Genomic DNA, 15,032 nt, shown 5'->3' on the forward strand with positions numbered 1-15,032 from the left:
ATGACAGTACCAAACATTTCTCCTGACCTTCTGCCAGCATCATCTTTCTTAAAAAATAATTTCAACTTTTATTTTAGATTCAGTGGTTGCATATGCAGATTTGTTAGTTACAGGGTATATTGCATGATGCTGAGGTTTGGGATACAAATGATCTTGTCACCCAGGTAGTAAGCATAGCACCGAGTAGTTAGCTTTTCAACACTTTCTCCCCTCCCTCCTTCCACATTCTAGTAGTCCCCACTGTCTATTGTTGCCATCTTTATGTCCATGAGTACCTAATGTTTAGCACTCCCTTACAATGTGGTATAAGTGATATTGGTTCTCCATACCATGGAGAACGGGGGTTATTTGGTTTTCTGTTCATGTGTTAATTTGCTTAGGATAATAGCCTCCAGCAGCATCCGTGTTCCTGGAAAGGACATGACTTTGTTCTTTCTTATGGCTGCAAAGTATCCCATGGTGTAGAAGTACCACATTTTCTCTATCCAGTGGACTGTTGACAGGCACGTAGGTTGATTCCTTGTCTTTGCTATTGTAAATAGTCCAGCATCATCTTTTGCTCAAAGTTAATTAAGTCCACTTCTCAATCCTATATTTTCCACATTTATTTCTCTGTAGTAGAAATTTGGGACTTTGATGTTGGGGTTCGAAACATATTTTTATTTTCCTTCATGAAATACTGCATGAGAAACAAGACTAGGCAAACATTTTAACTTGTAAGTAGTAAGTTTCTCATTATTAAAATATTCAATGTATAAATCATGTGCCACACTTAGCCAGGGGTTCATTTTTCCACTGGCTAATTTGGGGCCCCAGGAAAACTGAGCATTATAGACTGTGGAAATATAGCCAGGGCCTTCTCAGTGATTAGATATTACTGAGGGCAGGGTGGAATCAGTGCTCTGCATTTATCCCATTACAGCTTTGGAGTGAAAGTGTCACCTCTTCCCATAGCAGCAATTACACTAGCAATTAGAGAATCAACACTTTTATGAATTTCACATCTGGCCCAAAGTACAAGCCTGAATTTCTAGACTTTTTACTATAATTATCCTGTTATATCAATATTTATCATTTTCTTAGTGGGAAGTCTTATTTTTATAATTTGGTAGAAGTTATCTAACCAATTAGTTCTAATAAAAGTTTAACATTAAAAAGTGGTAGCATAAAAATAGTTTTAGATTTAATGATTCATATACACATCACATTATAAAATGTCTTTTGCAGTAAAGTTAAATAATAAAATGTTTTAAATGTCTGAGTTTTATTTTTTTTCTTCGTTGCAGGAAATTTACATTTGATGAGGAAACTAAATATCTTCCATTTAAAGTCATAGGCCTAGTTTATCATAACTCATGCTTCTCTTCCCATTTTAGAGTGGTTTTCTAAATATAATCACAAAGTATGAAGTTTCTTTCATAAAACCTTATTCTGAAATGAGTTCCATGTGAGTGTTTACAGGGAAAACCAAGCCAACCAAAAGGCACTTTCAAGATTCATGTGTTTGCTTTATTTAAAAATATCTATAATTAGTTGCTCATAGATAAATGATACTTTTGTCCTGCCTCAACATCATAAATCTTTGCGGGTGAATATTGTGCTATAATGTTTTTTCACCATGATATGAATTTTAAAGACTTAATAAGCCCCTCTTAGCATGGTTACTTTAACAGGGAAAATTGAACCCTTGGTTTAACATATGAAGTAGTGAGTGGGGCTTTAGTAATGGATCCAGATTTAGCTGAATAATACAGTTTGAATATCCCTTATCCAAAATGCTTGGGACCAGAAATATTTTGGATGTGGGGTTTTTGCACATTTTGGAATACTTGCATTGTACTTATCAGTTGAACATCCCTAATCCAGGAGCCCAAAATGCTCCAATGAACATGTCCTTTGAGCATCATGTAGGTGCTCAAAAAGTTTTAGATTATTGAGCAGTTCAGATTTCAGATTTTCAGGTTAGGGATACTCAACCTGTAACACTAACCTTAATTGAAGCTTTACCTTATTCCAGACGCTGTGCTAAATCTTTCATAGAGACTCGTCTCATTTAAACCTCACAACAAATCTTTGAATGAGATACTCTTCTTGTCCCTATTTTTAAAATGATGAAACTGAGTTTAAATAAAACTGTGAATGTATTTAACTCTTCTAAGATCACACAACTATTAAGTGGAGATAAACCTTAAGGCTAGATGAAGAGTTTTAATTTTATGTTGAGTAAAACATACCTTTACAGCAAATGTACTATTAATATGTAAGTCAAAGTTTTGTAAATGTGATTATTTTATCTAATCTTTAATTAATAAAAGAGATGATTTCCCCATTTCTGATTGATTTTTACTTGCCAGCAGCTGCTAGATCCTTTCCATTAAGTTTATAGGTCAAGTTGTTAATAATCTTTAAACAGCAGTTTAAACCTACCAGCTAAGTTTATTTATTAACAACAACAGAAACAAAAACAACCTGTTTTTCAACATTCCTTTTCTAATAAGCAGTTGTTATAGGACCACAATGGAATATATGTTAATTGCCTTCAAGATCTCTTAAAAGACAAATTCTCTAAGTAACCACTGGAGCATTTATGAGCAAAGAGATTTTATTGTCCCTGCCTACATGCTCCCCTAAAAACTGGATGAGTTGTGATGTAACTTTTTTTCTTCTAAGAAATTTAACAGTTACAGAAAATTCAAAGAATATACCAAATATCTCCATAATAAAATATTACTACTGTTATATTTTCCTTCAATTATTTTGTTAAGAAATATTGCAAACATAAACTTTTAAAAAATGTTCAGTATTATTAATTTGTGGGAATTATTTATTACCTAGAAAATGCTCACTTATCCAGACAGCGTTCTAAAAGTAATCATAGAAAAGGTATTCCAATGTACTTTAGGATAATATATTCTTAATTATCGTTTGTATAGGGCATTATTTATTATTTTAAAACAGCAAGTAAAGAATTTAAAATGATCAGTAATCTGGTTTAAAGGACTCTGATGCTAAAATAATTATTTTGAGATTTGTTGTGTAGAATGACTGGATTTTGACTTAAGAATTCAGTGGCTGTTTAATCCCCCTGACTTTAGTATTACTTATTAATCTCTGTGTCCTTTGGTCAGGAATTTGGGGAAGAGCCACATGAACTGAGCATGACTAGGTCCACAAGCTTGTTTATTTGTTTTTCCGTTGTGACTGAAGGCTAAACTCTTTTAGAAAGGCAAAAGGAGTCTGCAAAAATTAACGCTGATTGTGAGATTGGTGGAAAGAGGGTGGGAACAAAGTAAAAAATACACATCAAGTTCTAAAATTAGCCACTGTGATCAATGCATGCTACCAAGGGGGTGCTGCTGGCTGACCTATGATGGGAAGACCCTCCCCCAGCCCCCGTGGGTGCTGATCATGCTAAGTTGGCACGCTTCATCATTAAACAAAGTACTAAGATTAATTACTTCAAAGGGGTAGATTAGTTGATTTTAACTGTAAAAATGCACATATTTAACAGTTTAGCATTTCATGATTTATGTGTATAAACACTGAGACTCTAATGGTAAGGCGTTTGGCCATACCTAACATAATTTATTTGTTCATACTTTCAAGCCCTTGAAAGTTTTTGATCCCCTTATATTTAAGGTGGCAGGTTTTGGTTTAGAAGGGTATGGGCAGAGAATGTTGGCCTTTCTGTAGCATTTCTAAGAGGTTTTTGAGTGTGAACTAGCACCAGGGCTTAGGGAATTGGAGAGATAGGAAGGAGGGGATATTTGGATGCAAGATGTCATTGGCCTCTCACTGAGTATTCAGTCTAGGGGCAACCTAGCCTTAATTATGTTTTTATGGATTTTTTTTTTTCAAGAATCCCATCCCAGTGAGTTGTTTAGAAGCAGGATTATATTTAATAAGGCAATGGCAATTTTTTAAAACATGGATTTAATATAATAATTTTTCATTTCATTTTAAATGACAATTTAATAACTGACTTAACATTTAAATATATGAAGATATTTTTTAATTGGTAACATCATTACAATGTTTTATAAATCTAAAAGAAATTTAAATTTTCAACAAATTCACCACTAATACTGGGGGACAATTCTAGATCAATTGATTAGGCCTCCTTTTTGATGAGGCCCAGGCATTGAATTTTTAGGAGCTCTGCTGGTGATTTCATGTGCACCCCAGGTAAAGAAGCAATGTTTTATATAGTTTCATCCACAGTGTACATATTATTCGATATTCAATTTACATATTCTATTTCACTTAATTTTATAGGGAATATTTTCCTTGTTTCTTCAGCGTTCACAAATTTTTTTTTTTTTTTTTTTGAGACGGAGTCTCGCTCTGTCGCCCAGGCTGGAGTGCAGTGGCGGGATCTCGGCTCACTGCAAGCTCCGCCTCCCGGGTTCACGCCATTCTCCTGCCTCAGCCTCCCGAGTAGCTGGGACTACAGGCGCCCGCCACTACGCCCGGCTAATTTTTTGTATTTTTAGTAGAGACGGGGTTTCACCGTTTTAGCCAGGATGGTCTCGATCTCCTGACCTCGTGATCCGCCCGCCTCGGCCTCCCAAAGTGCTGGGATTACAGGCGTGAGCCACCGCGCCCTGCCACAAATTTTTAATTAGAATGTATATTTGTGTATCTCAATTTATTAAATTATTCATATAATATTGAATATTTCATTGTAAGTTAGTAGAAAACAATGGTGCAGTATCATTTGATTTCTCTGTTGAATCATTTCCAGACCATATCGAAAAGAATGAACAAACCTTGCTGTTTGTAGTTGCCACATTGCTTTCATAAGGGATGTAGCAATCACAATACTATCAGCAATGAGTGCTTGTTTCACCACAACTTTCCTGGAATTGGGAATTATCGATTACTAAACTCATTTTAAATCTTCATTGTTTTCAGGACTCCAAAAATGAAAAGAAGGGGAAAATGCCACAAATAGCTATGTTTATAAATGGAGCCATTGGTAGTTCCCTGGAAGTAGAGAGATGTATACAGTGATGTGCCTACAACTAGATCCAAGTAGGTTATTCTAATTTAAGTGACTTTTTAAGTCATTACCAATAAAAACTTTAAAGATATAAATTACCTACAACCATCAAGAATGGATAAAAATTAACTACTACAGCTTGTGCCAACCATGTGCTAGCAGTGGGAATACTCAAAATAAGCAAACAAAACTTCAGTGAATCAAAACAAAATCAACAGGTGTAACCTGCTTCACATTCTTCAAGCTTATATCAAGCTCTGAATCTGCCAAACTCCTGAGGAAGTCAGTTTCCTGTATAATTGAGAGATAAGCTCTATTATTGAGAGAACCAACTTCTTTCCTTAAAAGAATAAACCAGCTAGAGTCTCATTTTGTATTGTTTATTATCCCTTGACTACAGAAAGCGTGCTACCAAGCAGAAAGCAGGCTTTGTCACAAATACCAAGAAATCCAGATGCTTAGAGAATCTGAGTTTTTATTGTTCTCTTTCTCCTCTTCCTCTCCCTCTTCCTCTGTCATTTGTACCATCATCATCTTCATCATCATCACCACTATCATTTTTTTTAAAGAAGCATTTGTAAAGTGCTCATTATGCTGGGTACTTTATCTGTCTTATTTTATTTAGTCTTTATTGGTAGTAGCTCTTAGGCAGATATATTTCACTATTTCATTTTTCAAATGAGAATGAGCTGCAAAAGGATGAATACCTAATTCAAGGTTACACAACTAGCAAGAGCAGAAACTGGAATTTGACTGAGGCATATTAGATCCTACGATCTGAATAGACTTGCTAAGGCTGTTTGGCTTTCACAGTTCAGATCAGTTTAGAGTGCTGGATCAGTCCAATCTGGTGGCTGTGGCAGGTGCTAAATCTTGTAGGAAGTAGTCCCAATGTTTGGGACCAGCTCTGGTTTTAGTGACCCCACAGAAAGCCTAATTTGACTTTCAGGAAGCCTGCAATGGTTTTATGACGGACCACATCTACTAGACTAAGTGAAAGCCCAGATCCGGAGAGAAATGATCCAAACATCTATTTCCCAGTGGCCAGATCTGTTTTATTAAGAATCACATTATTAGGTTTCAATGTTCGGGCTATTTTCAGCGATTTTATCTCTTGCATCTTCTACATCCATGAGTCACCAAGTTCGGTGTGAGAGGTAGATAGCAAAGATTAGTGGAACAATTATAGAATTTGAATGTACATATATCTGAGCTTGAATTCCAGCCCCATTAGTTAGTATTTTTATAACTTTGGATACTAAGTTTCTTAATGTCTGTGTGCCTCAGCTTTCTTGTCTTTACACTGTAAATAATAATAAGTTTCCAGGGTTGTTATGGAGATTAAATGAGATATCTATATATAAACATGTTATGCAATGTCTTGCATATGATAGGCTTTCTTCCTCCCATGTATATTTACTCCACAATGATTATTTAAACCATTATTTTATATTTCCACTTCTTATGTTACTACAACCAAGGCCTCCCTCTCTTTACCTCTTAGTGGAAGAAATTTACACCAGCCATAGGGGTCTTTCTCAATTCCTCCTTTAATTGTGTCTGTCCTTGGTTTAGGAATTCACAGTGTGCATAACCCAGAGACCTAATCAATCTGGCCATAGAACATAACCCTGCCCTACCCTGCCTGATGCATCTCATACATTTTGAGTTACATTTCTCTAAAAGCTTTGTTTTAATTTGCCTGCTAAAGATCATCCTCTGGTTTTCTGGCAATACATAAAACATTTCAAATTACATGCATCCTCAGATATCAAATCCAAACTTCTTTTTCTAGTTTTTAATATTTTCCAGCTGCTATTAGCTTCCTTCCTGTCACCCAGATCAAGAACCACAGAATCGTAAAGGAGCATAGAACTCATGTAATTATTTCCTTTTAGCCCAAATCTACTGTTCCTATCTCATATATACTTCTCAGCAGCATCTATATATTCCCAAACAATGGATGAAAGAGAAAGCCTTGCCCGATCATAAAAGCAATGTTTTCTGATTACTAGACAGATGGTATTTAGATAGGATTGGAGACTTCAAAATGATGTTGATAAGAGAAAGTAATATTGGGAGGTGTAGTTGATACATATAAAATTCTGTTTTTACACCTTCTAATTTGTTCACTTTATTTTTCTGGGTCTTATAGTGATTATGACTATAACTGAGATAAAAAATAACAACTGGACTTTGAGAAATTAAAGTTGTTCCTCAAAGTGATCTCTTTTCTTGCTAAAATGTACTATAATTATTAAATGTATTTGTGATTCAGGTAAGTTTTAGTTTAAGCTTTGAGTGTCGTTTCATTAATGGAAATACAGATAATTGCTTGAGAACTCATTAAATGTATGTACTACTAGAATAGAAAGGAAAAATATTTTGGGCTGGGCGTGGTGGCTCACACCTGTAATCCCAGCACTTTGGGAGGCCGAGGTGGGCGGATCACCTGAGGTCAGGAGTTCGAGACCAGCCTGACCAGTATGGAGAAACCCCATCTCTACTAAAAATGCAAAATTAGCTGGGCATGGTGGCACATGGCTGTAATCCCAGCTACTCGGGAGGCTGAGGCAGGAGAATCGCTTGGACCCAGGAGGTGGAGGTTGTGATGAGCCAAGATCGTGCCATTGCACTCCAACCTGGGCAACAAGAGTGAAACTCCATCTCAAAAAAAAAAAAAAAAAAAAAGAAAAATATTTTGGAAGAGTAATATTTACATAACTGTCTTAGCCTGTTCAGGCTGCTATAACAAATTACCATGGGCTGTGTGGCTTATAAACAACCAACATTTATTTCTCACAGCTCTGGAGACTGGGAAGTTCTAAATCAAAGTGCCAACAGGTTCAGTGTCTGGTGAGGGCCCACTTCCTGGTTTATAAACGTTTTTTCACTGTGTCCTTATGTGGCTGAAAGGGCCAGCGAGCTCTCTTGGGCCATTTTTATAAGGGCAGGAATCCTATTCATGCAAGAGGAACCCTCATGACCTAATAACTTCCCAAAGGCTCCTAATGCCATCGCCTTACGGGTTAGAGTTTCAACATATGAATTCGGGGAGACGCAAATATTAGAACATAACAAATACTCTTTTGAAAATGGTTTACTGGCTTCCTAAATTTAAAAAAAAATTTCTCTTCAGAGTCTTTTTACTTTTCATTATTTTACATTCAGGTGCCCACTAGAATTTATGTACCTTTAACAGATTTAAGAGTTATTTCTAATATACTAGTGAGAAATGATTAATATTTTATAGCTGATTCCTATAATAAACTAACCCAATCAAAAATATTTTATTAGATGAATTAGAGCAGTTATCATCTCATTAGTATCTTTTCCTCTAATTACTACAGAATGTAAAATTTATTTATTTCTCCTCATTATAAGGCAATTTCCTAGAGTGAATAGCACAACAAAAATAGTGTAATGTTTAGAATGTAAATGTGGAATTTTACACATTCCATTTTTTAAAAATCTAACTCAGTTCCCCTGTACTTACTAAAATTCCTCTTCTAAATGTCATTAATTAACTACTGGCTGTCAAATTCAATTGTCATTTTCTATTTCTCATCTTCCTTTGTTATTGTTAACTGCATCCTACTTTGTAAAACTCTCTTTCTTTTCTGCATTTTAGGTTTAAATTTTGTTATCAAATCATGTGAACTATGTAAAAAGTGAGCACTTCTGTACCTGCTTCCATTTTAATAAATAAAACACTATCAACAAATTTCAAGTTCCCTATGTGTTCCTCCCAGATTGTATGTTCCTTCATGCCCAAATGAAAGTGTAACCATTATCCAAACTTGCATGTTTACAATCACATGCATTTTAAATATTCTTTTGCTACATAGTATGTACCTGTACATAATGTGTCATGTCATATTTTGGTATATTTTAACTTTTCTTTAAATAATATCACACTGTGTGAATGGGTGTGTTTTTTAGCACCTATTTTTTGTTTTTTGTTTCATCATTCAACATTGTTTTTATGACAGTCTTCCTTATTTATTTATTTATTGCTTTTGGTTTCTGGGGGTCTTGTAATTGACTGCCTTCTCTTCTAGCTGCACAACCTCTCCCTATGTATTCCCTGCCGCATCTGGCTTCTATAAACCTTTCATATTTTTCTCAGATCCAGGACTGTCTAAAAACCTACTGAATATCTCCAACAGGATATCCCACAAGTAACATAAACTTCATCCTTCAAAATGTGAGTTTATTATCATCTCCCCAGAGCTGCAATTTCTTTTGCTTTTTCTTTAACTCAAATAATGGCACACTATCAACCCTGCCATCTGTGCTGTTAAATTTAGTCATTGTGAAATCCCTGGTGTTCTTTACCCTTCATGGCTACTTAAATCACTAAATCCTCTAGAGGCTAAAAGTAAAAACTAAGCTGCTGGAACAAGATATATTAATGTAGTAATGCATATATGTATAATAAGTAAGACCAAACCCAATAAAGTTGTGTCTTGTTTTTTTTTTTTTTTTTTTTCTACAAGAGTCTGAGATGTCTGAGCCCCAGGTCAATGCAGCACTACAACATGTCTTCCATCTTCAGCATGTGACTTCCGAGGTCATCCTTCCAGCCTGTGGGAGAGAGGACAGTGCAAGTCCGGGGTCAAAAACTGACTCATAAGCAGGGCCTAAGTTGTTCAATCACTTCTATTCACACTCTACTGGTTGCAAGGGGTCTAAGAAAAACAGCACCTAAGTGGGTAGCCACCCCCTCGCCCTAACTCTATCAGTATTGGAGGATAGACTTTGGTGGACAGTCCCGTATCTGTGCCACACATAGGTTCATAAATGTCTTCCAGGGCCTTTCCTTCTTTACCTCGTTTCACTGCCACACTGTATGGTGTCAACATCGCTTGCTTAAACTATTCCAAATAGTCTTTTGACTGATTATATTTTCTTCTTCCAATCCATCTCCTATGTTAATGTCAGTTATCTTTCTAAAATATTGGTGTTTTGTTGTTGCCCTTCAGGAAAATTTTAAGAAGTCCAGTATCTCTCTGTGGCCTCTGAAATTTTTATGGGATAAACTATATGACATGTGACAGGTATATAGAATACTTACAACGTGGCCTTAGGTTGTTTCTCTGGCTTTTCACTCATTCCCTATATTCTATACTTTGAACACATTTGCCGGCTCACTGTCACTTACTATGTCGTGTATTTTCATAGCTTTATGTCTTTATTTTCGGAGTCTCCTGTGTCTGGAAAGCTATTTTTCCCTTCTTCCTCTACAGTGGTCACCTCCTATCAGTAGCTTTCCTAGATAACCTTACAACTAACCAAAGCAGAGCTCATTGCTGCTTTCCCGGTGTTATCATCTATATAAACCTTGCTACTCAGAATGTGGTCTGCAGACCAGTGGCACCAGCCTCACTTGGAAGTTTGTTAGAAATGCAGAATGCTGGACCCAACCTGACCTACTGAATTAGCATCTGCATTTGTAACTAGTTCCCATACGATCTGGTACGGCTGGTCCTCAGGCTTTAGAAATAGCATTCATCATATTAATGACAGTTGGTTCTTGATGCATGGTCTCCTGTAGGCCTTAAGTTTCTCATGCAGAAACTGTATCTTGTTCAATGTGGAGCCCTCAAAACCTTCCACAGAGTATCTGCTACATAGTGGCTCCTGCTAAATTTATACTGAGGGACTTGATTTGTATTTTGTCTTATCTAATGGTCCTATAAGAAGTTATGCTTAGAATTTGGGTGTTTTCAGCACTAAACCCACCAAATTATTTATTTCTATGAGAAATAGAAGCATTTTTGCACCTTCTAAACCATATCCTTTGAAACTTGTGAGCATTACATGAATGTGCATGCATCACATAATTTGGATAGGATTTATTGCAGTTTATGATTATAATTTTTCATTATGCTGCTAAAGGAACCATTAGCTAAAAGGATATTTTCATAAACAAATATTATAGTAAGGGCTAGCCTAATGTATATAAAGGATAATATATATTTTTAAAGTTAGAAATTGCCTCTAATTTTTAATATGTACTATAAAATCCACACAATTTAGAAATTTTCTTTGAAATCAATTTAAAAGAAATTGTTTTTTAAAAAGTATGTAAGTGTTTAAATATATAAAATTTAAATATATACTAAAATATAACTCTGAAATTTAAATATTTACTAGGATATATACATAAAACAGCTTGCTGCATTGACCTGGGGCTCACACACCTCAGACTCTTGTAGAAGAAAAAAATCAAACAAAACAATACAGTCAGTGTTGCAAGCTGCAATATAGAACAGTCCCAATCTTGCCTTAGGTTATTTGTTCTTTTTTTTTATTATTATACTTTAAGTTTTAGGGTACATGTGCACATCGTGCAGGTTAGTTACATATGTATACATGTGCCATGCTGGTGCGCTGCACCCACTAAATCGTCATCTAGCATTAGTTATATCTCCCAGTGCTATCCCTCCCCCTGCCCCCCACCCCACCACAGTCCCCAGAGTGTGATATTCCCCTTCCTGTGTCCATGTGATCTCATTGTTCAGTTCCCAGCTATGAGTGAGAATATGCAGTGTTTGGTTTTTTGTTCTTGCGATAGTTTACTAAGAATGATGATTTCCAATTTCATCCATGTCCCTACAAAGGACATGAACTCCTCATTTTTTATGGCTGCATAGTATTCCATGGTGTATATGTGCCACATTTTCTTAATCCAGTCTATCATTGTTGGACATTTGGGTTGGTTCCAAGTCTTTGCTATTGTGAATAATGCCGCAATAAACATACGTGTGCATGTGTCTTTATAGCTGCATGATTTACAGTCCTTTGGGTATATACCCAGTAATGGGATGGCTGGGTCAAATGGTATTTCTAGTTCTAGATCCCTGAGGAATCATCACACTGACTTCCACAATGGTTGAACTAGTTTACAGTCCCACCAACAGTGTAAAAGTGTTCCTATTTCTCCACATCCTCTCCAGCACCTGTTGTTTCCTGACTTTTTAATGATTGCCATTCTAACTGGTGTGAGATGGTATCTCATTGTGGTTTTGATTTGCATTTCTCTGATGGCCAGTGATGACGAACATTTTTTCATGTGTGTTTTGGCTGCATAAATGTCTTCTTTTGAGAAGTGTCTGTTCATGTCCTTCGCCCACTTTTTGAGGGGGTTGTTTTTTTTTTTCTTGTAAATTTGTTTTGAGTTCATTGTAGATTCTGGATATTAGCCCTTTGTCAGATGAGTAGGTTGTGAAAATTTTCTCCCATTTTGTAGGTTGCCTGTTCACTCTGATGGTAGTTTCTTTTGCTGTGCAGAAGCTCTTTAGTTTAATTAGATCCCATTTGTCAATTTTGTCTTTTGTTGCCATTGCTTTTGGTGTTTTGGACATGAAGTCCTTGCCCATGCCTGTGTCCTGAATGGTAATGCCTAGGTTTTCTTCTAGGGTTTTTATGGTTTTAGGTCTAACGTTTAAGTCTTTAATCCGTCTTGAATTGATTTTTGTATAAGGTGTAAGGAAGGGATCCAGTTTCAGCTTTCTACATATGGCTAGCCAGTTTTCCCAGCACCATTTATTAAATAGGGAATCCTTTCCCCATTGCTTGTTTTTCTCAGGTTTGTCAAGGATAGATAGTTGTAGATATGTGGCGTTATTTCTGAGGGCTCTGTTCTGTTCCATTGATCTATATCTCTGTTTTGGTACCAGTACCATGCTGTTTTGGTTACTGTAGCCTTGTGGTATAGTTTGAAGTCAGGTAGTGTGATGCCTCCAGCTTTTTCTTTTGGCTTAGGATTGCCTTGGCGATGCGGGCTCTTTTTTGGTTCCATACTAACTTTAAAGTAGTTTTTTCCAATTCTGTGAAGAAAGTCATTGGTAGCTTGATGGGGATGGCATTGAATCTGTAAGTTACCTTGGGCAGTATGGCCATTTTCACGATATTGATTCTTCCTACCCATGAGCATGGAATGTTCTTCCATTTGTTTGTATCCTCTTTTATTTCCTTGAGCAGTGGTTTGTAGTTCTCCTTGAAGAGGTCCTTCACATCCCTTGTAAGTTGGATTCCTAGGTATTTTATTCTCTTTGAAGCAATTGTGAATGGGAGTTCACTCATGATTTGGCTCTCTGTTTGTCTATTATTGGTGTATAAGAGTGCTTGTGATTTTTGTACATTGATTTTGTATCCTGAGAGTTTGCTGAAGTTGCTTATCAGCTTAAGGAGATTTTGGGCTGAGACAGTGGGGTTTTCTAGATATACAGTCATGTCGTCTGCAAACAGGGACAATTTGACTTCCTCTTTTCCTAACTGAATACCCTTTATTTCCTTCTCCTGCCTAATTGCCCTGGCCAGAACTTCCAACACTATGTTGAATAGGAGTGGTGAGAGAGGGCATCCCTGTCTTACGCCAGTTTTCAAAGGGAATGCTTCCAGTTTTTGCCCATTCAGTATGATATTGGCTGTGGGTTTGTCATAGATAGCTCTTATTATTTTGAAATACGTCCCGTCAATACCTAATTTATTGAGAGTTTTTAGCATGAAGGGTTGTTGAATTTTGTCAAAGGCTTTTTCTGCATCTATTGAGATAATCATGTGGTTTTTGTCTTGGGCTCTGTTTATATGCTGGATTACATTTATTGATTTGCGTATATTGAACCAGCCTTGCATCCCAGGGATGAAGCCCACTTGATCATGGTGGATAAGCTTTTTGATGTGCTGCTGGATTCGTTTTGCCAGTATTTTATTGAGGATTTTTGCATCAATGTTCATCAAGGATATTGGTCTAAAATTCTCTTTTTTGGTTGTGTCTCTGCCCGGCTTTGGTATCAGAATGATGCTGGCCTCATAAAATGAGTTAGGGAGGATTCCCTCTTTTTGTATTGATTGGAATAGTTTCAGAAGGAATGGTACCACTTCCTCCTTGTACCTCTGGTAGAATTCGTCTGTGAATCCATCTGGTCCTGGACTCTTTTTGGTTGGTAAACTATTGATTATTGCCACAATTTCAGCTCCTGTTATTGGTCTATTCAGAGATTCAACTTCTTCCTAGTTTAGTCTTGGGAGAGTGTATGTGTCGAGGAATTTATCCATTTCTTCTAGATTTTCTAGTTTATTTGCGTAGAGGTGTTTGTAGTATTCTCTGATGGTAGTTTGTATTTCTGTGGGATCGGTGGTGATATCCCCTTTATCATTTTTTATTGTGTCTATTTGATTCTTCTCTCTTTTTTTTCTTTATTAGTCTTGCTAGCGGTCTATCAATTTTGTTGATCCTTTCAAAAAACCAGCTCCTGGATTCATTAATTTTTTGAAGGGTTTTTTGTGTCTCTGTTTCCTTCAGTTCTGCTCTGATTTTAGTTATTTCTAGCCTTCTGCTAGCTTTTGAATGTGTTTGCTCTTGCTTTTCTAGTTCTTTTAATTGTGATGTTAGGGTGTCAATTTTGGATCTTTCCTGCTTTCTCTTGTGGGCATTTAGTGCTATAAATTTCCCTCTACACACTGCTTTGAATGCGTCCCAGAGATTCTGGTATGTTGTGTCTTTGTTCTCATTGGTTTCAAAGAACATCTTTATTTCTTCCTTCATTTCGTTATGTACCCAGTAGTCATTCAGGAGCAGGTTGTTCAGTTTCCATGTAGTTGAGCGGTTGTGAGTGAGATTCCTAATCCTGAGTTCTAGTTTGATTGCACTGTGGTCTGAGAGATAGTTTGTTATAATCTCTGTTCTTTTACATTTGCTGAGGAGAGCTTTACTTCCAAGTATGTGGTCAATTTTGGAATAGGTGTGGTGTGGTGCTGAAAAAAATGTATATTCTGTTGATTTGGGGTGGAGAGTTCTGTAGATGTCTATTAGGTCCGCTTGGTGCAGAGCTGAGTTCAATTCCTGGGTATCCTTGTTGACTTTCTGTCTCGTTGATCTGTTTAATGTTGACAGTGGGGTGTTAAAGTCTCCCATTATTAATGTGTGGGAGTCTAAGTCTCTTTGTAGGTCACTCAGGACTTGCTTTATGAATCTGGGTGCTCCTGTATTGGGTGCATATATATTTAGGATAGTTAGCTC

At 36.5% G+C, this 15,032-nt stretch overlaps 1 protein-coding gene across 12 annotated transcripts in view, besides 2 other annotated features; it reads left to right on the forward strand.

Moving 5' to 3' along the window:
- Positions 1–15,032, forward strand: part of ADGRV1 (adhesion G protein-coupled receptor V1) — a 605,641-nt gene that overhangs the window by 353,526 nt on the left and 237,083 nt on the right. The gene's annotated exons all lie outside the window — the stretch shown is intronic.
- Positions 4,681–4,825: an enhancer, noted in NCBI's record as "145 bp 5:90212892 sequence used in MPRA reporter constructs". NCBI's record gives its function as "activates a minimal TATA-containing promoter with rs28368305 allelic activity by MPRAs in C283T melanocytes and UACC903 melanoma cells {active_cell/tissue: C283T | UACC903}" and the evidence as "EXISTENCE:reporter gene assay evidence [ECO:0000049][PMID:36423637]".
- Position 4,753: a transcriptional cis regulatory region, noted in NCBI's record as "rs28368305 or 5:90212892 MPRA-significant variant associated with a GWAS melanoma risk locus at 5q14.3". NCBI's record gives its function as "allelic transcriptional activity by MPRAs in C283T melanocytes and UACC903 melanoma cells {active_cell/tissue: C283T | UACC903}" and the evidence as "EXISTENCE:reporter gene assay evidence [ECO:0000049][PMID:36423637]".

Source organism: Homo sapiens, chromosome 5 (assembly GCF_000001405.40).
Source record: "Homo sapiens chromosome 5, GRCh38.p14 Primary Assembly".
Lineage (NCBI taxonomy): Eukaryota > Metazoa > Chordata > Mammalia > Primates > Hominidae > Homo > Homo sapiens.